The sequence below is a fragment of the Homo sapiens genome, chromosome 2 (assembly GCF_000001405.40).
Source record: "Homo sapiens chromosome 2, GRCh38.p14 Primary Assembly".
NCBI classification, from domain to species: Eukaryota; Metazoa; Chordata; class Mammalia; order Primates; family Hominidae; genus Homo; species Homo sapiens.
In genome coordinates this window covers 88,170,336-88,193,460 of record NC_000002.12, presented here as the reverse complement: position 1 = coordinate 88,193,460, position 23,125 = coordinate 88,170,336, and the positions used below count along the sequence as shown (strand labels likewise).

At 48.6% G+C, this 23,125-nt stretch overlaps 1 protein-coding gene across 21 annotated transcripts, besides 1 other annotated feature; it reads right to left on the bottom strand.

Annotated features, from left to right (window-relative positions):
- Nucleotides 6,834–23,115, bottom strand: THNSL2 (threonine synthase like 2). Of its 21 annotated transcripts, none has more exons than NM_018271.5 (9): nucleotides 23,005–23,115; nucleotides 20,088–20,322; nucleotides 18,628–18,822; nucleotides 18,060–18,212; nucleotides 14,448–14,678; nucleotides 10,614–10,762; nucleotides 10,388–10,513; nucleotides 7,982–8,133; nucleotides 6,834–7,563 (listed from the first exon to the last, which is right to left on the bottom strand). In NM_018271.5, the coding sequence occupies exons 2-9, from the start codon at nucleotides 20,308–20,310 to the stop codon at nucleotides 7,338–7,340; spliced, it is 1,455 nt and encodes a 484-aa protein (NP_060741.3). In that variant the 5' UTR covers nucleotides 20,311–20,322; nucleotides 23,005–23,115; the 3' UTR covers nucleotides 6,834–7,337. The 21 variants fall into 21 exon arrangements, with proteins under 21 accessions (NP_060741.3, NP_001231605.1, XP_024308743.1 ...); NM_001244676.2 differs by lacking the exon at nucleotides 7,982–8,133 and adding an exon at nucleotides 7,737–7,910; XM_024452975.2 differs by having other exon boundaries at nucleotides 20,088–20,323; nucleotides 23,020–23,115.
- Nucleotides 6,838–7,655: an enhancer, noted in NCBI's record as "H3K27ac-H3K4me1 hESC enhancer chr2:88485325-88486142 (GRCh37/hg19 assembly coordinates)". NCBI's record gives its function as "activates a minimal SCP1, AML or CMV promoter by ChIP-STARR-seq in naive H9 embryonic stem cells {active_cell/tissue: H9 hESC(naive)}" and the evidence as "EXISTENCE:reporter gene assay evidence [ECO:0000049][PMID:30033119]".

Here is a 23,125-nt window from a genome sequence, read left to right as displayed (position 1 = left end):
GACCCCCTGAATTCTGTCCATGGACCCCTTGGCGGTTAATAGACTTCATGTTAAAAACCTGCCCCTGGAGTTGGAGCAAAAATGGATCTTTTTTCCCAAGGCCCTAATAATAGTATCCAGTATGGCCTCAATACCTGAAAGACCTTACTAATAGGCTTTTTAAAAATCAGTTAATGAGGCTGGGTGCAGTGACTCATGCCTGTAATCCCAGCACTTTGGGAGAACGAGGCAGGCAGATCACTTCAGGTCAGGAGTTTGAGACCAGCCTGGCCAACATGGTGAAATCCCATCTCTACTAAAAACACAAAAATTGGCCAGGCATGGTGGTGGGCACCTGTAATCTCAGCTACTTGGGAAGCTGAGGCAGGAGAATCGCTTCAACTCGGGAGGTGGAGGTTGCAGTGAGCAGAGATTACACCACTACACTCCAGCCTGGGCAACAGAGCAAGACACTGTCTCAAAAAAAAAAAAAAAATCACTAAATGAGAACACACACAGAGCCCTTGTTTGGGCCTTCTTGCCAGACCTGGAGTCCAGAAGAGATTTAGGGTTTCCAGGGAGATCTGAGACAAAGTCTTCGCATCTGCAGCAGTGGCTGTGTCTACGCAATTTCATTTTCTGAGCTTTGGAAGATGGCTGCTTGAAACCTGCAGAAAACTCGACCCCAAACTGGGAGAACTCATCTCTACAAGCATCCCCAGGGCTCCTTTCCCAGGGCCCAGCCTGTCTTGGGCTGCCTGAGGGTGCTGAAAGGAGGCACTGCTGTACAAAGTGAGAGGCCCTTGAGTTCTCCAGCTGCTCCACCCTGATTAGCTGTGTGACCTTGGCTAAAGCAACTCTCCTCTCTGAGCCTCAGTTTGCTCATCTGTAAGAAGCAAGGGCTTGGGGGGGGATGATGTTTCTCAAATGGTGCTCCAGGCACGCATTCTTGCTGTTTCAGAATTCTCTATCAATGATGTGTGTATGTGTGTGTGTGTGTCTGTGTGTGTATGTGTGGCAGTGGGGGATGATTTCATCTTGATTTTTTTTTTTTTTTTCTGAGAAAAGACATTTTCTGGATCATCAGTCTGGCCACCTTAAAAATACTATCTCAACTGTCACAGGCCAGTAAGGAGAAGCAGACAGAAGGGACACATATACGACAAGCTGGCAACAAGTGAAGACCATATGACATGGGATGTGCTTGGGATGCTGTGCTTGGGATATTTCCCTGTGGTTAGAATAGGAAAAGGACGGAAGAGCAAAGTTATTCCATCAAAACGGGAGATAAATATATGGAATAAACAACAACAAAAATCATGTCCTAGGAATGAAGTGCCAGAGTCCCTCTGCACTGGAGTTCTGAGGGCAGCACGTGATATAGCACAGATGAATGAGATTGTTTTGAATTTTTAAAATTTTGTTTGTAGGTTTGTCCATATTTAATTTGAATACTCATTTCGGCTTATCCTTGTATGGGAGCTATCATCAGTACAAGGAGTTCATTGATTTTTTGTTTGTACATGTTTAAGTAGCTTTATTACAAAAACGAAAACTGTTTCAGACAACATTGGAGGTTTCTGTGATTTTTTTTTTCTTTTAAAGGAGGGAAGTCCCAATATGAAATCTGAAAAGCAATCAATTTAAAATATATATTTGGGGCCCCATTTCCTCGCCACCCCGCCCTCCGACCTGCAGGGCCTCGAATTCCCAGAGAACAAGCTCAGACTTGCCTGCCTGTGGGGTGTGGGAGTGGGGCTGGGGGTGAGGTGGGGGCAGGAAGGGTGGTCAGTCCTCTTTGGAGGGAGGACCTTGGGTGTACTATGCTGCCCTCTTCTGGCCACACAAATCATTGCTGAGTTTATCTTGGGCTTGGAAAATTTGGAGGGTGTGTTTGGCCCTTTGGGCAGGTGGCAGGTCATAGTGACCTTTAGTTGCAGGACCGTTGCACAGAGCTCGCCTCAACCCACCTAAGCCCTCATGGCCTGAATTGAGCCAATTTTACAAGCAAGCACTGTCCCTGTTTGGAGGGAACCTTGGATAAGGGATGGTGGGAGGAAAACGATGATCCAAGCCAGGGATGAGATGAAGGGAAGGGGCAAGAGGGTGACCTCCATGGCCTCCCTGGTGGCCAAAGCAAGGGGAGGTTCCCGCAGTTTCACCCTGTCCTGAACAGTTCAAGCCCTGCCTCCATTCTCAACTGCGTCTATTGCAGGGCTTCTTGGCCTTGGTTACCTTAGCTCCTGAGCATCCATTCAAGGGGAAGGAAGTCCCCTCCCCAGCTGCAAAGACACTTCTGCCTGCAACAGGAGGCCCTGTGCCTTCTCCAGGGTGTGGGTTTATGATAAATCTTTGCAATGACCACACCACTGAGGAGAAGAAAATAGTCCTGACTCTAGAAGGCTCCCTGGGCTCTCGCAGCCATTCAAGACCCAGACCGTTCTTCTCCACACACCCCCAGCCCCCAACCCAGGCATCTTTCTGGGCCTGCAGCTCCTCCTACTGGTTCTTCTCCGGTTGAGCATTCGCAGTGAAGGCTAGATGTGGGGCTAGGGCCTGGGTTTATGGCAGTGGCCTTTGAGGAATGGGTAGTGGGGAAGCGGACCCCGAAACCAACCTCTCAAACACCAAGGTCAGTGCAGGGGTGGAAGGGTAAGAGGTGCCTGGATGCCTGCATGGGAGAGCACATTGCTCAAGCCATGGGGCAGCTCCTGGGCACGGCCATGGAATTCCATCAACCCCAGCCACATCTTTTCTTAATTTTTACCTCTCGCTTGGTATCCAACACTGCCCAGCACATGGTAGGCCTCAGCATCTGCCCAGCTCTTGGCCCCTGGGAGGCTCCCCGGCTGTGGAGGACTGATGGGTGGGATCTGAAAGGGCAGATCTGAGAAGGAAGACTCTTTTGGGCAAAGGCAGTAAGCTCCCAACACAGAAGCTGACCCTGTCCTCTTTCCAGGAGGCTGATGGCCCTGCCCTCGCTGTGTTGCTCACCCCGTTTTCCTGGGGACACAGCTGAGAAAACTCAGCAAATGCTCCCAGGCCTCGTCTATCTCCCCTACTCTTCCAGCAGGGCCCACCCAGCTGGGCCTCCCTGCCAGCAGCTGGAAATCCCCAGAACCACTCTCACTTTCTTCCTACAACACCACCCTCCCCTGACCAGACACCTGCTCCCAACCATCCTCACAGTGAGGAGCTCAGCTCCACATGCAGCCCTAAGTCAGAGGGAAGTTCTTCCCAAAGCTCCTGGCTCCATGCCCCCTGCCCAGGGCATCTGGCCCTTCTCCTAATGATGGGCCCTCTCCTCTACCCTCTACCTCCCCATCTAGCCTTCAGACCACCACACACTGATTTGATGGGAACTTGGAGGCCCTGGGCCCAAAGCACTCCTCCTGGTATGGTAGTCTATCCAAGTGGTTAGGCTCACAGATCCTATACCCAGCCTACACATCCCTCCTCCAGCACACACTGGCTGTGTGGCCTTGGACAAGTTACCTAACCTCTCTGAGCTGCATTCCCTCATCTCTACTTCTTCCTAGACTCATGAGGATTAAGGGAATCAATGTTTGGAAAGTGTTTTATAAAGGTCTCGGCACATCATTGGTGCTCAAGAGAGGAATTGTACTATCCTCATCATCACTGCAAATTAACATAGTTTGTTAACTGGCTAGCAGAACCACTACTGACTAATCTGTGGCACATGGCCCCCAGTGACCCTAACAGATCCTATTGCAGGGCATATTGGCTGGGCCAGGTCAACCTCTAACCCTGTGCCCAAAGCTGCATCAGCACTGTGGGGGGCCACAGAAGAACTTTATCCTTAAGGAAGAGGCAATATCACAGGCAAGATAAGACTAATTCACAAAGCAATTAGTAAAAAATACAAGATAGCTTAAAAGTACTAAATTGTTCAGTGCAGACTATAATTGTGTTAATAGTAAGAACCATTTGTATGGCATTTGAGAGTTTACCCAGCACTTGGAAATACATTATCTCATCTCATGTAATCCTCAAAGCAAACCAGCAAGGTAAGTACAGATGTTCCTCAACTTACAATAGTTACATCCCAATAAACCCTTCGTAAGTTGAAAATATCCTAAGTTGAAAATGGGTAATACCCTCAACCTACAGAAACATCATCATTTGGCCTAGCCTAAATGTGCTCAGAACACTGACATTAGCCTACAGTTGGGCAAAGTCATCTGTCAATACAGCACACTGTGGAATATGGGCTATTTATCCTCGTGATCACAGGGCTGACCGGGAGCTGGGCTCACTGCTGCTGCCCTGCGTTACAAGAGACTATCATACTGCATATCGTTAGCCTGGGGAAAAATCAAAATCTGAAGTCTACTGAATGCATACGAACTCAGGTCTACCGGATGCATATTGCTTTCGCACCATCACCATCCTAAAGTTGCAAAGTCTTAAGTCAGGGATCATCTGTATTGTTCGATGCAGATGAGGAAACCACGGCTCACAGAGATTAAATGGCTTAGTTGTGATCACTACCAGTAAGTGGGTGACTCAGAAAAGACTCCACCCTGATTCTCACTTCATCTGGTACTAAGATCCTGGCTTTTTCCATTAAGTGGTGGGCGTGTGTGTGTGTGTGTGTGTGTGGGTGTGTGTGTGTATTAGTCTGCTCAGGACTGGGTGAGATTTAAATAATAGAAATTTATTTCCTCCCAGTTCTAGAGGATGGAGGTCTCAGATCGAGGTGCCCTCAGCGTTGCTTTAATTCTGGGGCCCCTCTCCTTGGCCTGCAGATAGCAGCCTTCTTCCTCTGACTTCACGCAGTCTTCCCTCTGTGCCACATGTCTATGTCTTAATTTCCTCTTATAAAATAAGGGACACCAGTCCTACTGGTTTAGGGCCCAGCATAAAGACTTCATTTTAATTACCTTTTTAAAGACCCTATCTCCAAATACAGTTACATTCAGAGATACTGTGGATTCAACATATAATGGAATTGACACTATTCAGCTCGCGTGGTGTGTGTGTGTGTTACAGGGGTGGGCACTTCTCCAGACTTCATCTCGTTCTCATCCTTTTTCTCATTTCCCCAAGACTCCCTGTGGCCAGTGTAGCCTCAGTTCAGGTTTCCTGTCGATGTGCATTGTGCCTGGTGTGGCCTTATTCTGGCCTCCCTCACAGGCATGGTGGCCTCTCAGAGCTGGATAGGTCTCAGAACCATTCAGGGGATGGGGTTTCCCTGTGACCTTGGCCCTGCCCTGAGGTCCTCAGAATATGGCAGCAAAAGAGAAGGAGCCACCTGCACGGGCCTGCCCACAGCAGCGCCCAGTGCCAGTTAAAGAGGCCCGGAAAACAGGGCTGCAGCAGCCCCTGGAGGACTCTTGGAGAAGCACAGCCATGCTCCCAGATCCATCCAAGAAAGGAAGATGGCGGGAGGACCCAGGAGCAGAGCCAGGGCCTGGGGAAGGATGGAGGGAGGCAGGCAGCAGAGAAAGCCCCATAAGAACGTGCCCGCTGACACAGGAGGCAGTGTGAGGAGAACTACACACCAAACTGGAGGCCACAAGGTCTGGGTTCAAGTTCCAGCCTCTCTGTTCCGTGTTGCCACCCTGGTAAGTTATCTCGTCTCTCGGAGTCTCAGTGTTCTCACCCGCAACATTGTGGGGGAAACAGTAGCACTAGCTTCACACATTGCTGTCAGGATTAAATGAGCTAATTTTTGTAAAATGTCACCTGGCACACAGTAGGTGCTATCAGGGCTGCATAGTAACTTTTGTGGGTATTAGGCATTTTTGCTTTTATGGGTGTCTTCCTCTGTAAAAAAAATACTTAAAATTCTATTGTACAACTGTGTTAGAAGAAAGATGAATAAAATCCCAGCTCTATTATACTGTTTTCTTTTGGTTTTAAGAGAAACGAAGACATTTTCATGGGCCTCTAATGAATGGTGGCCCCTAAGCATTGGGCCTATCATATCTAATGGGTAAGTGGCCCCAGGGGCTGCATCAGTGTCTGCTGCTGTGGATGTTAAAGTGTCTCAGGAACTGCCAAGTGTCATGGCTGGTAAGGAGTCACTGTCACTCCTTTAAGAACACTCCTTCTGGTAAGGAGTCACTGTCACTCCTTTAACAACACTCCTTCTGTCCTCCTGGAGTCCAGCATCCCTGTCCTCCCCCTCTGGGTACTGACTGCAGTGCCTCAATGTCCAGTGTTTCAGCAGAGGGCGCCAGAGGCCTTTCCCTTTAGTCCCACGGAGATGCAGGGCTGGGATGTTCTGATGGGGAATGCCAGGCAGAGATCGCACCTGGCTGAGCAGCGCCTTCAGACCTCAGGCAGGCAGGAGAAGGAGGCTCTGGAGGACAAATGCCCATTAGGTCATTTCACAGCAGCCTCCAGGGTGGCGGCAACAACGTCCTCTAGTGGCAAAAAATCCCTCCATCCAATGCCTGCCTCCCCTCCCCTCCTAGGGGCTCCCAGCGTCCAAGGCATGGGGCTTCTGTTGCCGTTCATGTGTTTGTCTAAAACTCTCCTCAACCCACACAGGACTAGAATCTGATGAAATGGATTGGAACCTGAGTCAAATGGGCTCAATCCCAAGTGATGTATGAGCAACAGGGCGCCTTGACTCGGTTTGCACATTGATGCCAATGCTTTCCCACAGGGTCTCCATCTGGTGAGCCCCACCTCAACCTCTATGGATGCCAGCACCACCAGGGCCACTGGCCCATGCCTGCTCTGCTGGCCCCTCAAGCCTGGGCCAATGCAGGGCAGCAGGGGGATGCCGCACACACCTCAGCCCACCACTCAGCGGCCCCCAGGGCTGCCCACAGTCCTGCAGCTTTTCTAGGAAGGGACCTGCCCAGAGACGTGCCGCTCCATCACACTGAACAAGCATTTTATTCCAGGGATTCCCAACATGTGAGCAGGGTGGAAGCCTCTGACAAGGTGGGCCAGAACCTTTGGATTTGGTTTGGGGGCCAAAATCAACTAAGGCTCAGAGAACATACAAAGCCTGCGTGAAGGTGGTGAGCTGCTCCCACCTTCACAGGTCTGGGGTCCTAAACCCCTGGAGCCATGGTCAGTCCTGTGCCCAAGCCTCTTCTTTTGCAGGCCCTGAAACTTTCACTACAGCTCAGACACTGCTGCACGGGCCGGGGAGGGAGGGGGTGCTTCCGGCAACTGTTCACAGCCCCTCACTCAGCCTCCCTGGTGACCAGGCACAGACTAGCCAGGGAACGGAGCAAAGCCAGCTGGCTCCAGATCCAGCTGAGCAGCCTCCCGGAAACCTCCTAACCTACGCTTAATGGGGAGGGTGCACAAGGCAGCTCAGAAGGTGCATCTTCCTGGGATCTGAAGCCTAAAGAAAGCCACCTCCAGCCAGGCTACTGGGAGGTGTTGAGGGCATGACTCCTCCACTGTCGGCTAAGGTCCTCAATGGTGTCCCGAAGCATCAGCATCCAGTTGTCACCTCTCCGCATCAGGGTGCAGCGTGTCTCCTTGTGCTCCAGGGCTACGATCTCCGCGGGAGTCTCAGGGGTCAGGCCAGCAGCCAGGACAGCTTCCGGGAACTTGGCTGCAGAGGCAGGGGCGAGGCAGCACCGGGGAGTGCTGTGGGGATGGGGGCAGGTGGCACCCGGAGGACAATGAGAGAATAGAGAGATGGGAAAGGAGAAGGTGGAGGAGGAATAAGAAACAGAGGAAGTTTAGGGATGGGGGGGTATGGAGGACAGAGACACAGACAGACAATTGGCACCTTGAACTTATTGCTACAATGACGCTACCTGGCAAACTGCTCCTCCTGGTTGGAGGCCAGCTCAGCCACCACCTCTGACCATGGCTGTCCCTGGGATATCTGTCACGCTCCCTCTTCTGGGCCCACAGTTTCCAAGGCACAGTTCCACACAGCACCCATCACACTCCATTACAGCCATTTTTTCGTAGTCCTGTCTCTCCCACTGCTTGGAGAAGAAGAGGGCCCCTGAAATTCAAATGGTCCCTCAGTGGCCCAGGCCCCCATTGCCTGTACCTGGGCTGCTGCCTGTCTATCTGCTGGTAATGGTAGTTCACGGCCACCGCTGAGTGGGGGCACAGCAAGTACTGGTTCTCATCCCAGCAGCGGCCCATGGTCTGGGTGATGGCTTCATCCGACACTGACACGGATGTCACTGCCTCTGAAAGCTGAAGGGTCCCAGGTCAGAAAGATGAGGTGTGGGGGGGGGATGTAGGGAAAGATGACAAAACCCCACTCTCCACCACAGATCCACACAAACCCCAGGGATCCAGTGGGACATTCAGACCGAATGGCTCAGATGTGGCTCACAGTAAAAATCTGGCCTCCTAGTTTTGAGCTGACTCACTCAACTTGGAGGAAAGATACGTTTGAGTTTTATGTCAATCCATTTAGTTGGGATTTGGCTCCTAATCAGCAAATATAGATTTGTTCAACAACTTGCCACAGCCAGAAGGCTCGGGGCAGCCACACGTCTGGTGCTTGGTTGTTGGCACACCTCCTTCCTGTCAGTTCCTATTCAGCTCACAGAGCACCTCCCCCAGGAAGCCCTCCCTACTTCCTTCAGACAGAGGAAGATTCCCTTGTCTGTGCTCCCTCGGTGTGTTTGGTTTATTTGATCATCTTCTGAAAATGTATTGCATGCTTACAATACACCAAACACCCTGCATATACTTGACTGCAGTAGGGATCATAGAGTATCACAGATTTTTTTTCTTTTCTTTTTTTTGAGACAGAGTCTCTCTCTGTCACTCAGGCTGGAGAACCGTGACACGATCTTGGCTCACTGGAACCTCCACCTCCCAGGTTCAAGCAATTCTCCTGCCTCAGCCTCCCAAGTAGCTAGGATTTACAGGCATGTGCCACCATGCCCAGCTAATTTTTTTTTTTTTTTAGTAGAGACGGGGTTTCACCATGTTGGCCAGGCTGGTCTCAAACTCCTGACCTCAAATGATCCGCCTGCCTCAGCCTCCCAAAGTTCTGGGATTAGAGGCGTGAGCCATCTCACCCGGCTGGTATCATAGATTTTCATATAGCTACCTGCTGTGAATTAGGGTTCCCAGCAGACAATGAATGTATTTTACTTGTCTTTGTGTTTCTAGCACCTAGCACAGTTCCTCGCTCACAGTAGATATATAACATGAATGCATGAATGCCATTCCAGCAAGTGAAGTGTCTCCTATGTGTATAGCCAGAGAGAGAATGAAGGAGTGGGAGGTATGGTGTCTGTCTTCATGGAGCACCTCATTTATATGAGGAGAAAGAATGTGAATGTCAAAACACACCATTAACCAAATAAATTGATCTTTGGGTGCATCAAAAGAAGCACAGATTCCAGAAGGCCGGAATTCCACTCCAGTCTGCATTGGTATGGCTCAGCCTAGAGAACTGCATCCAACTTTGAAAACAACACTTTAAGGTGGATATTGACCTTGCAAAATTATGTCATGCAAGGGACCACTAAAGGAAGTGGGAAGACTAACTTGGTAAATGAGGATTCTCTAAATACTGGAAACACTCGGATGTAGAATCAGACTGTGTAAGCTAGAAGGAGAAGATTCTAGCTCAATGTAAAGACTTTTGTAATGGTGAGAGCTGGTATGAGGTACTGAGAGTCTGGTCACTGGAGGTATGCACAGTCTGGATGGCCACTCAGTGGGAATGTGGTAGAGAAAATTAAAGGCAGCTTCAGAAATCCTTTTTTTTTTTTTAAACACAGAATAAGTACCATCACCAGGTTGCATTAAAATAAAAACAATCCTTCCCAATTAGATTCCTATCATTCCAAGGGAATAAAATTTCTCCTTTTCCAAGAAAAATAAGAGAGAGAAAGGGAAGGAGGGAGGGAAAGAAAAAAGAAAGATGGAAAGGAGGAAGGAGAGAGGGAAGAAGGAGAGCGAGGGAGGAAAGAGAGAGGAAGGAAAAGGAAGAAAGGAAGAGCTCAACGGAAACAATGGTCTCGGTTCATACTGGATGGGCAAAATGGCTTCCAGTTGACAGTATTATTGGAAATTAACAATAATAATAAGTAAAAGAAAGTTAATGTATCAAGCCATATATTACCAGGAAGTATGCAAAGTGCTTCACATATATTATTTGACTTAAATCTCACAACAACTCTATGAGGTAGGCATTCTTATTATCCCCATTTTATAAACGAAGGAACCAAGGCACAGAGTTTAGGAAACTAGCCCAATGTCTCAGAGCTCACTTGGGATTGAGCTCATTTGACTCTAAACCATGTTCTCTATTACCTCTCCTCATTCAATAAATTATTCCATGTAAAGTGGCCGTAAAAGTGGTGGGCTCATAGCAGGTACTCAAGAAACAGGTGTCCTCTTCCCTTGACCAGACTTCCAAACCCCAAGTCTGCTATGTGGCTGTACCCTTTCCTTTCTCTGTGGTGTGTGGGTAGTGACTGACCTTGCTGTGCAGTTCCTTGGGCAGATTCACACTTTGGGTCCTTTCAAACTGCTCCATGAGGGCTCTTGTCACCTGGCTGTCAGAGCCAGAGAGCAGCCAGAACACCCTCTCCATGTTGTAGGGCACCTGAGCAGAAAGTCAGTTTCAGGTCCAGACTGATCTCAGCCCCATCGAGCCCCACCCAACCAACACCTGGGCCAGATCTGCACACCTCCCCCAGGCCTACCTGAATGTCCATAGCTGATGCCAAGGTTGATTTAACAGCCTCAGAGAGAGAGAAGTCTCCCTGCTGGACAGTCCTGTGGATGATGTCATTGCGGTTCACTGCCACGACCAGACGGATGGGCAGGCCTATCTTTTGAGCAATGTACCCAGCTTAAGACAAGAGAGGAGGAGAACAATGGCTTTTTAGAAATAAAAGCAAAAAGAAAAAAGTAAATTGGGCTTCATCAAAATTAAGAAACTTTTGTGCTTTTTGAAGCTTTTGTGCTTTAAAAAGGACACTATCAAGAAAATGAAAAGGCAACTCGCAGAATGGGGAAAAATGCAATTCATATATCTGATAAGGGATTTGTATCCAGAATATATAAAGAACTGTTGCAACTCAATAATAAAAATACAAATAACCCAATTAAAAATGGGCAAAAGAACAGGCATTCCTTCGAAGAAGACGTACAGATGGCCAATGAGCACATGAAAAGATGTTCAACATCATTAGTCATGAAGGAAATATAAACAAAAACCATGAGATATTACTTCAAACCCTCTAGGATGGCTGGAATCAAAAAGACAGATAATAAAAAGTGTTGGTGAGGATGTGGAGAAATTGGAAAATTCCCACATTGCTGGTGGTGACAAAATGGTGCAGCCACTTTGGAAAACTGAAGTCTGTCAGTTCCTTAAAATATTAAACAGAGTTATCATATAACCCAGAAATGCCACTCCTAGTTATGTACCCAAAAGAAGTAAAAATATATGTTCACATGAAAACTTGTACACAAATGTTCACTGCAGCATTATTCATAATAGCTGTGTTAAACAATCCAAATGTCTATCAGCTGATAAACTGATAAACAAAATATACCACTGTATGGTATATCCATACAATCGAAAAAGTACTGATATATGATACAACATGGATGAACCTTGAAAACATCACGCTACGGGAAAGAAGTCAGGCACAAAAGACCACATCCTGTATGATTCCTTTTATAGAAAATGTCTAGAATAAGAAAATCTATATATAGAGACAAAATAGATTCGTGGTTACCAAGGGCTGGCGAAGGAGGTGGTCTAAAGAAAAGTGAAGAGTGACTGCTAATGGGTACAGGGTTTCTTTTTAGAGTGATGTAAACATTCCAAAATTGGTTATGGTGATAGTTGCACAAGTCTGTGAATATATTATACTAAAAACCACTGAATCATACACTTAAAATGTGTGAATGGTATGTGAATCATTTAGCAATAAACCTGTTACAGACACACACACACACACACACAGCAAGAGAGAGAGGAGAGAGAGGGGAGAGAGAGGGGAGAGAGAGGGGAGAGAGAGGAGAGAGAGAGGAGAGAGAGAGGAGAGAGAGAGAGGGGAGAGAGAGGGGAGAGAGAGGAGAGAGAGAGGAGAGAGGAGAGAGAGAGGAGAGAGAGGAGAGAGAGAGGAGAGAGAGAGGAGAGAGAGAGGAGAGAGAGGAGAGAGAGAGGAGAGAGAGGGGAGAGAGAGGAGAGAGAGAGGAGAGAGGAGAGAGAGAGGAGAGAGAGGAGAGAGAGAGGAGAGAGAGAGGAGAGAGAGAGGAGAGAGAGGAGAGAGAGAGGAGAGAGAGGGGAGAGAGAGGAGAGAGAGAGGAGAGAGGAGAGAGAGAGGAGAGAGAGGAGAGAGAGGGAGAGAGAGGAGAGAGAGAGGAGAGAGAGAGGAGAGAGGAGAGAGAGAGGAGAGAGAGAGGAGAGAGAGGAGAGAGAGAGGAGAGAGAGGAGAGAGGAGAGCGAGCGTGGGAATGACTAGGAGTGCATCACCAGCCCTGAGGCTGTTTTATGTGTCAACCCCCTGCCAGCTGCCAAAGTATTTAATAGATGGCTGACTACTGTAAAACACCAATTTTTGGAAGAGGAAATGAATGTTCCAAGAGGTCTAAATGACCTGTCCAAAGCCTGTTAAGTGTCAGAGTCAGGATTCAAAATATGCCTAAGTCCGGAGCACATGCCCTCCCTCGACTCAGCCTCCTAGAGCCAGCAGTTTCAGACTACTCTCCCTGCACAGGCACCAGGGGAGGCCAGAGCAGTAACCTCAGTCCACCCCAACAGCAGTTCTTGTTTGCATGGAACAAGCAAGGAATTCCTCTCCCTAAGAGGTGTACAGCCCGGACACGTGACATTGTTTAGGAAGGTTTTACATATGGTGCTTTCGTGAGCAGTTTATCTCTGGTGAGTAGCTAAGGGGAGTTAGGGACAACCACACCACCCAACATCACTGTTAACCTGGCAAAACACTTTTATTTTTTTTTTGAGACTGAGTCTCTCTCTGTTACCCAGGCTGGAGTGCAATGGCACAATCTCAGCTCACCACAACCTCCACCTCCCAGGTTCAAACGATTCTCCTGCCTCTGCCTCCTGAGTAACTGGGATTACAGGCATGCGCCACCACACCTGGCTAATTTTTGTATTTTTAGTAGAGACAGGGTTTCACCATGTTGGCCAGGCTGGTCTCGAACTACTAATCTCAACTTTCTCTTTCTTATTTCACCTGATCCTCATGAGAACATCATGATATCCTTGCCTGACAGCGGAGAAATGGAGGCTCAGGAAGGTCCAGGGTCTTAAAGCCAAAGAGTTGGTTCCTGACAGAGCAAAGATGGATAGGAACACCCTCAGCAAATGTTGGTCACGTGTTTATTTTGTATCGAGCACTGTGGTAGGCTCTGGGCTGCAGAGGGCGGCTGGCCGCACGACTCAGTGCATCACTAATTGGAGGGCGATGGGAATGGGGAGCATGGTAGGCTTTATCCCATGAGTGGCAAAGAAGCCCATCCCTCTTTGCCTGCCAGCCCGCTGTTCTCTCCACCCTTCTGTTAGTGGCAGAAGTCAGGAAGCTTCCTAACCACTAAGATGCTTCCGTGCTCTCAGCTAGACCATCCTTGGTGCCCATCAGAACCAATGCCATTGCCGGAACTATCAGGAACAGTAATTCCCCTAGCCTCACCAGCTCTGCAGCCAGACTACCTGGGTCGCGCTTCTGGCCCAGCTCTGTAACCAGGGCATGACTCCTTTCTCTGTGCCTTTGTTCCCTCATTATAAAATGGAAAGTGTCCTCTCCACAGGTGGATAAATGAGTTCATATGTGAAAAGCATTTAGAACTGTGCCAGTTGCATACTAAGTGCTTGATAAATATTAATGATTATTAGAGAAAATGATTTTAATGCTACACAGCTGTACAGCACTTTGCCCTTACAAAGTTTGCATGCACACAGGAATCTGATTCGCTCATCGAGGCAGTCCTGGGAGATAGGATGAGTGACACAATCTCATTTTATAGCTCAAAGGTTGAGTCTAAAGGACTGCTCCACAGCCTCTCAGTTAGTAAAGGACAGAAATGGGGCCAGAACCCCAAGTCCAGAACTCTTTCCACCTCACACGGGGTCAGGGTGGTGTGTCCAGGAATGGGAACAAATGTGCCAGTCAAGCCGCTTGCCCTCACATTGGGTAGCTGGCCAGGGCTGGGAGCAAAGTCCACATTTCTGATTGAGGGCACTGCCAGCCAGCCATAGCGGCTGACCCTTGACCTTGCCTCTCCACACTCTGCTGAGCCAGCGAGCACATCAGGTCAGGCTGTGGGAGCATGTGGGGTTAAGCCATCACCCTCTGCTGCCGGCAGCAGGATCCCAGGATGCTGCCCCAGGCAATGAGGGGGGAAATCTCCTGGGAACTTCTGTGGGGTTTCCCATCACCTTCAGAACTGGGACTCCACCTTCCTTCTCCTCACAGTTGCAGCCAAAGGGCAGCTAGAAGGACTGGGGCCACAGGCATTTTTCTGGAAAGCCCATTTGTGCCCCGGGGATTCCTTACCTGCAAGGTTACCGGCAGCCCCTGTTGGCACAACCACCTCCACCAGGGGTAGGGGATGTGTGTCCAAGGATGGCGTACACTGGAAGTAAGCAAAGAAGTGATGGGCCATCTGCACCAGGACCCGGGACCAGTTGATCGAATTCAGGCTCATCAGATTGTGCTTCTTGACAAAAGCCACATCGGCAAACACAGTCTTGATCGGCTCATCGAGCTCATCGCTGTTTCCCTCCACTGCCAGGGGGGAGAGAAGAGGGCAGCTGTCAGGAGCATGTAGAACCCCCAGGAGGTCAGCACTCACCTGCGACAGGGCCCTCCCAGGCTGAGCCCACCCTCCTGGGACCTTCGCGCAGCCTAGGTTTCTTTACTTTCACGTAGCTTGGCCTCACTATCTAGACTCAGTATTAAGCTCCTCAAGGACAGAAATCATGCCTCAGATTCTTGTGTTCCTAAATATCTGCCCTAGCTTAGAACAGAAAGGGTAGCCAGAACCAGTTCCAATGTTTCTACCATTATCTAAAATAAGATAGCAAATGGCAACCTTCTGGGATCCTGGGAGAATTTCTCTTTGTAATCCATGCCCACTTCCCCCACTCTTCCGCAGAGGAGAAACTGTGTGCCTGATTGGAAAACGGTGAGAGACGTAGCCTTTCCTCCACAGTCCTCTATCAGGGGCCAGGGTGGAAACAGTCACCATTCCCCTGTGGTCTGCCCTCTGCCCTCATTTAGATCACAGAGTAGGTGTTCTGCTCTCTGCTCCTACATGGCAGGTAAGCTTCCATGGACAGAACTTCCCCTCCCTGAAGCTGGGTGTGTACATCAGTGTAATTTATGAGTGAATTACCAGATAAATTTATGGTGAATTGTCCACTAATACAAGTTATATCCTCCAGTCTAGCTCAATGAGCAACCAAGCCAATATTGATTTCTTATCTGATACCCGAGTATGTCTCCATTGGATCTACACTTGGAAGGAAGAGGGGTGAAATTTACTGGGAAACGTGCCAGAGAAGGCATTAAGGGTGCTAACCATTCTGCCCTTCAACACTGTGTAGCAGCAATGGAGCTGGGGGACTGACTCTAGATCCATGTGTGTACCCAGAATGGCCGGGGCCAGTCATGGTGATTCCATTCCTTTGCCAGGACCAAGCCAATCAGTGCCTGGTACTCTCATGGGGTCAGGGTTGGCTCCACAATGAGCATGTGAATAAATTCCGATCAGTGAACCACAAGGACATGTTAGCTGGGTTCTAAAAAAAGATTCACTGCTTTAAAAAAAAGAGCAACAGGAAGGGAGAGACCTGGTTACCTCAAGCAATCACCATATGACCACAAGAGGAATGAGCCTTAGGACTGAGGAGGGCAGAGCAGAGAATGGGAAGGACCTGGGTTCCTGAGAGCATTGTGAGTCACTGAATCAAACAACTGGAAGCCCACTCCACCCCTGGCCTTCCAGTTACGGAAGCTGGAAAATATTCTTGTTGAAGCTGGTCTGAGTTGAATTTTTTGCTACTTCTAGCCAAAAGCATCTCAAATAACAATAAATACCTAGCACTTGCTGATTATTCTGTGCTTAAGAAGAACCAAGTATACAATGTACATGGAAATTAATGACTTTATAAACCAGCTGTCCACATACAATAATCTAAGTGGTCCATCCCTACTCCCTAAGCTTACCAGTCTACAGAAAAATACATATTTGCTGTTATATCCTGAACTAACACACATCCTCCTTAAAACCAAACCAGAAAGCTCTAGAAAGGAAAGAAAGGATCTGAATAGTGTCGTTTATAAACAAAACTGATTTCTGTGAAGTCTGCTGTCTTAGTTTCTCATTTTCTTGAACATGTACACAACAGAAACACCCCCTTCAGGTCCAGCATTTAATGATTTATTGCATTCATCAGATTCCACATTTCTGCCATTACTTTACAACTGGGCACTGTTCTCCAATCCACAAGTCAGGAATGGAGCTTTCACTCACACCCTTAGGTCTGTGTACAAAAAAGACAAGGGAGTAGGAGGCAGGACAGAGGCACAGAACGCTATTCTCTGCTTTGATTCTAGGAAAAAACAGTCCTAGATCTGTAACTAGCAATTTTGGTGCTTAGGGTACAACAAGGACCCTCAGGAGCCTGAATCTTGTGCACTAAAGTCTTGCAACAACTGCAGGAAAATGCAGCCAAATATGAGCAATTAGCAAGGCAAATGTGTAAGATGACACCAACACCTGCATTAGCTAAACCATGGACTTTTCACTGGCAAGTGTATGCACCTGCTAAAGAACAGAGCAGAGGGGCAGTTCGCTTGCTCTTGAACAAACTGACAGAGGGTATTTATGCTGCTCCTTTGGATAAGGTTTGTTTTCACTGTGCTTTTGCTCCTTGTCAAAGCTGATGTTATACAAAAATAACCTCTACAGGATTATCACAGGAAGCCAGGCCAGTTGTAGAAGGAACATTCTCTGCCATCACACTTGCTGTTCTGTCAGGTGAGTGACCAAACTAAGCCAGGCCTCCTGGAAAGCCTGCCCAAGGCCACAGCTCGCCCAGGCCAAAACTTAATCCAAGTCCCCACCTTGCAGCTACCTGGGGTCCAGTGGGGTGTGAGAGGTAAAAATAAAAATGTACAGCTCCACCCACACTCACCCCATCTTTCTCCACTCTCAATCCCTATAATGATTAAATCCATTAGGAATAGATGGCCTGATATTAAAAAAGATGGCTTTTGCCTTTCTCCAAGCACAAAATGCTGTGATTCTCATGATGTGACTCAGGTAGCAGTATAACCAATGGTGGGTACCACTGAGTAGTTCCCTATTTTAAATATTTAGACCAGATAACCAGTGCATGGCTTAGTTGTTCCCATACTGTAAAGAACAGCAGGAACTGTCAACATATAATGACACATTCCTTTTTTTTTGAGACAGGGTCTCACTCTGCTGCCCAGGCTGAAATGCAATGATGGCATGATCTTGGTTCACTGCAGCCTTCTGGGCTTAAGCGATCCTCCCATCTCAGCCTTTGGAGTAGCTGGGACTACAGAAGCACATCACCATGCCCGGCTAATTTTTGTATTTTTTATAGAGTCAGGGTTTCGCCATGTTGCCCAGGCTGGTCTCAAACTCCTGGGCTGAAGCGATCCACCCACCTTGACCTCCCAAAGTGCTGGGATTACAGGCATGAGTCACCACACCTGGCAACACATTCTCTTAAAATAATTATCTAACATGTTGGTGTCCTCTAAACTTCAGAGTCTTGGAAAAAAACCCAAATCACTTGGCTCAGGTTATGACTCTGCATGGTTGCTGACATACATGACACTTGCAGGTTGGACATGCATGGAGGTGGCATTTTTTGGGGTATGGTTTTCAATCCATACTTAGCATGTTGTACTGTTGGTATCAGTTTATGCATCTGTCACCTCCAATAGTTTACTGTGTAGCCAGAACCCTGCCCAGAGCTGAGCCAAGGCATACACACCAACCTCGAATATGATGATGAAAGGAGGACAGTCAGCTACCCAACTGTGCAATTTTGTTCCAGTCCATCTCCCAAAGCAAACCCAATTAAGGCAGGGCTGCACTGTCCCTAGAGCCTCTGCCTCAGCACACACCTCCAAACACATGTACGTTCTGCTTCAGCACCGTTGTCATCTGGAGCTCCTGAATCTTTGTGCAGTGACCTTTGGGCAGCAGAACGATAATGTCCATGTTCTTTGCCCCTTGAACACTCTCAATGGCAGCACTTCCTGTGTCCCCAGATGTTCCTGGATGGGAAGAAAGGAGAACTCTCCCCCTTTAGAACAAAGGGAATGAACGAGGAAAGAAATGGTCCCCAAAGCACTGTTGTCAAATATAGCAACATCTACTTCAAATACTTGGATGATATGAACCTAGCACTCCACCTAGGGTCCATGGATCCACGGATAAAATTCAGGACATAAGTGAACTTGTGAACCACATCATCTTAAGCATTTTGTGCACTTCAAACATTACTCTGAGAAAGTTCCATAGCCTCCATCAGCCTGGCAAAGGGGTCTATGGCACCAGAAAATGTTAGGAACCTTGCTCTGGAAGAACCAGTACCACAGTTCCTGAGTGGCTCTATGAACAGCATCCTATAGGTGGACACCCTACAGTCACAGCACTCAGGTATTCTGCGTTTGTGCCCCAAAAACACACCTACAACCACAGTGACGTGCTTCTCCCTCTTCTCCAGGAAGTACTGCAGGAACTGTGTTGTGCAGGACAGGGACAGGTCCTTAAATGCATATGTGACGCCATGCCACAGCTCCAACACGTTCAGCCCATTCCTCAACCTGGACAGATGGACCACTTCTCTGTGACGGAATCTGCTGAAGGCTCGGTCGATCAGATCTGTGAGGGTAGTGGGGTGGATAGCCAATGAGGGGCCTGGTCTCTTTCTCAAGTTCCCTCTCAGTCTCTGAATATAAAGTTTCCAACTCCTGCTACTAAAAGGCCAAAAATCTTCATCTTAAATGATACCATTTTTGAATACAATTGTAAAAACCTAGAAAAAAGTCTGGGAAAACATGCACCAAACTGTTCATAGATTCCTTATAGTGATTTCCTCAGTGACCAGAATTGGTACTAGAAGACTTTATTTTTCATTTTTTATACTTCTTCATTGTTTGACTGTCTCGTGAGCATGTATTCCAATCAGGGGTCAATTAAATAGCTACATAACACATCAATGTCGCATCCCATCTAATGTTCCTTCCTAAAGATAGGAAGCTTTTTGTTTCTTACATTACTAAATCTCACACCTGTGACGCCAGAGCCTTTGGATGGTTGATATACAGCCCTCCCTAAGGCAGGACTGGAGCAGTCCTAGAGCACAGCTTCTCAAACTGTCACTGGCAAACCAAGCACCTGGGATCTTGTTAAAATGCAGGCTGGTTCAATCAGTCTGAGGCAATCTCGGATTTCCAACAAGTGCCCAAGCAATGCCATCACTGCTGGTCATCAGACTGCATTTTAAGTGGTCCTTTCTCTTCCCCAACCCCAAACCACCACCATTACATTATGGATTTTGTTCTTGCTGTTTAAAGTGTGGCTCATGGACCAGTAGTCTAGTATTATCTGGACATCTGACAGAAATGCAGAATTCTCATTCCTACCCCAGACCTACTGAATCAGAATTTGGTTTTTAACAAGATCCCCCAGGGAATCCATAGGCACAGTAGAGCTTAAGACAAGCTGGTCCAGGACAGTCTTGAAGTCCTTTCTGGAATTAACATTCAAAAAATAAAATAGCAATTTGGGGGTCTGGGTGCTTTATGTGAAGGAAGGAAACACCCCAACATTCAAGTCACTCAAGATGATTCTAAAATCCCTAGTGTTGAAGAGGTTTTTGTTTTTTTTTTTTTAAAGAAAAAGAAAGAAAGAGAGAGAAAGAAAGAATTCTCTGAAGAAAATTTCAACATTCATCTCCCTGGAGACAGGACGAAATCTTTCAGAATATTTTCAATTCTGGGATTCTAGAGTCAGGAAAAGAAATAAAACAAAGTTTGAGAAGAAATGTGACTAGAGACTTCCTAGTGGTTTGGTGATGGATTTACAATTCTGTAGACTGAGCTGGCAGGGGCTGGAAGAGTGAAAGTACAGGTGGGAGCACTCACCATTTAATTCATCTTTTGGAAGGAGCTCAGAGCCAATGAAGAGGGCACACAGCTCCTTCACCAGGCCAGGATAGGAGAGTGTGCTCCACTGGCACAGGGTCCCTCTGTCCAACTGTGGGAGCTCTTCAGGCATAAAGAGGCCCCCGTCAGGTGCATAGCCAGAGAAGAGGGCCCCCTCAAAGTTGACCCGTGGGGCTACGCCCCTGGTGCTGACATACCACATGATCCTGGAGGCCTGCAGAGAGGACAGTCCCAGAAGCACCTGGTCTCCAAGCTCCCACACCCCACCGGGCAAAGCCAAAGCACACACAGTCTCACAGTTAGCCTCTAGACCACCAGTCTCCGGGGCACATGTCCCAGACCTAGAGATGGCAGTCCTGTATCAAGTCTCATGCCAGCTTCATCTACAACTGTGTAAATCATGATTCCACCAATCAAAATGAGGCAATTCCACTGACCTCCTGTCTTCAGGGAGAGGGTATCGGAGCATGCCGGGAAAAGAGAAAGCTTGGTCCTCACCAATGAGAAAGAAGGCCTGGCGGTGGGGACAGATAATAGCAATAGTAGGCAACTGCCAGCTTGATATCCCTCTTGCTAAGGCGAAAGACCAACGCACAGAGTCATACACCCCTTTCAGGGACGTCTCGGTCCACTTCTGCTCAAAAACCAAACATCTTCAATGGTTATTGGAAACACTGTCTACAGCCTAGTAGTTCTCAACTGTGGTAGCTTGTTGGAATCAACCTCAGAGCGTTAAAAAAAATACAACTACCTGAATCAATTAAATTAGACTCTAAATGAGAGGCTCCTCAAGAGAGTCTAACGTGCAGCCAGGGTTGAGAAGAGGGTGACCAACTCATCCCAGTTCGCCCAGGAGTTTTCTGGTCTTAAAACTGCAAGTCCCATGTCCTAGGAAACCCCTCAATCCCAGGCAAACTAAGATGGTTGGTCATCCTAGTGGATAACCAGTGTTCTACCTCTTAGCCTAATCCTAGGACCGTTATAAGTGCTGATATGCAGTCTTTAAAACTAACTGGCCCTGCATGGACTGAGTTCTCTGGTTCCTGGGGAAGCCCAGGACCCCTTAGGCCTAACACTGGTCACACTTCCACATCAGTTACTTTCCCAGGAGCCAGATGCCATGTCAAGGAGCTGGGCTTGAACTCTGAACACCTTCTTCTGGATCATGACAGTGAATTTAGGGGCCCTGGCTTTGACGCCCCACAGTAACTATGGGGATGAATTTGACTAGACATAGCTCTCAGTATTAGCTTGGACTTTCTGTGCCAGGGTGGGAGGGGATCCCCTGCCCTCTAAGGGCAAAGCCACCCAAAGCTCTCTACCTACATGAGGCATATGAGCACTGACCTGGAGGAATTCTCATTTCCTAGTCTGTGGCTCTGACATCTGTGGGCCCCCGTGCAAGTCTCACGTGGGCTGCCACGTGCCACTCTCTTAACTACAAATATTAAGTGTATCTCACTTAGAGACAGAGACAAACTTGATCATACAAACCATGAATCTTTTGAAAGTGATTATGCTGGGACAATGGTATAAGCCAGAACTCTCTCTCTGGCAACCTAGGATACAAGGTCACTCCGTATGGGAGTCCATGTCAAAGAGATGAAATATGGGTAACTCCAAAAGTTAACTGCAGTGGATAAGCAAAGCAGGCAGTATTTCACAAAACAGAACCAGGGTCGGGGGGCAGGTGCTAGCGGTGCCCTCAATAAAGAGAGGAATTTCTGCAATTCTGTGGTAAGAGTTAGAGCCAACGCAAACTGCCCAAGACCGTGGAGTAACAGAAAGGCCTTCATAGGACCAGACTTAAACGCTACGACTGAGCTGCCAAAGAAACCATCGCAGGAGTGAGGGCAGGAGCGAGCAAGGCAGTAAGGTACAGCGAAAGAAAATATTTTTCAAATGCCCTTCCCTGGGTGGAAGGAATATCACACCTGGGGCACTGGGAAGGAGGATATGGAACAACTGTCCAGGAACAGAGGACAGAGGGGCTGGCACGGGGCTCTGAGCAGGTCATGGAAGGAGCTGGCCTGATGAGCACATACCCATGCCCCTCACGCAACAGGACTGTCCCTGTTCTGTCCAATGCCTTCCAGGGGCAGCATTCCCAGGCCAATTCAGCAAAGCTAAAGAGAAATACACATGGTTGGGTTCAATGTAAGCCAGAGGCGGAAATAGCAACCACAGGAGGTGGTGAAGTTGAGGAAGAAAATCAAGTGCTGTTGTTGGGCTGCTCTATGAGGGCTCCAAGCATGGGATGGAGACCCGGACTACGTGTCCCCTGGGATTTTATATTCTAATAATTTTCCCTTGCCACTCCTCTGGACCCTATTCCAGAGTAGAGAAGGTCAGAAAAACTCTGACCAATAACCAGGATAAATAAATACGGAAAATAGGAGTAGCCCGAAGGCTGGGAACAAGAAGGTGGGTAGACAGGCGCCCCTCAGGGAGGTGGAGGGGTTTTGTGAGAAGGGGTGGGACAGGGCGGAGACTCGGACCCCAGGAGCCGACGGCACCCCTAGGGGTGGAGGCAGACCCCGGGCTCTCTGAGGCTACCGGTGCCAGTCATCCCGCCAAGGAGGGCGGCCTAAATCCTCAAGGGACTCGCAGGCGCCTGAGATTCCACTCCCAGCCCCTGAAAACACCACGGACTTCAGTTTCGGGGTTCTCAAAGGACTGCTCAAATCCCGCAGAAAACGCAAAGCATCAGAAACCCCCCGCACCACCCTCCCAAGTTCCTCAAGTCCGAGCGCCGGAACCAAAGGTTCCAGAAACGGGCGGGGCGACGGACGTGGGCCTGCGGGAATCAGGGCCGAACGGAGCCGCGAGAGCGTCCGGAGCTCAGAAATCTCGCCCGCGACGACCCCGGGAGGGCGGCGAGGTTGGCGCGCGTTACCGGTGCGGGGCGCGGGGCGCGGGGCGCGGGGCGCGGGGCGCGAGGCCCGGTGCGCAGCAGGGCTGCCCGGGCTGCGAATGTGCGCACTCCCGAGTCCGCGTCCCTGACGGTGCGGTGGGGC

What these genes read in the sequence shown, in the direction of transcription:
- THNSL2 (NM_018271.5), bottom strand. Translation starts at nt 20,310, where the DNA reads ATGTGGTATGTCAGCACCAGGGGCGTAGCCCCACGGGTCAACTTTGAG. An exon ending in GAACGTACATGTGTTTGGAG is followed by an intron (nt 14,679 to 18,059) that starts GTGTGTGCTGAG and finishes CCCCCCTGGCAG; the next exon opens with TGGAGGGAAACAGCGATGAG. An exon ending in CCAAGGAACTGCACAGCAAG is followed by an intron (nt 8,134 to 10,387) that starts GTCAGTCACTAC and finishes GGGACCCTTCAG; the next exon opens with CTTTCAGAGGCAGTGACATC.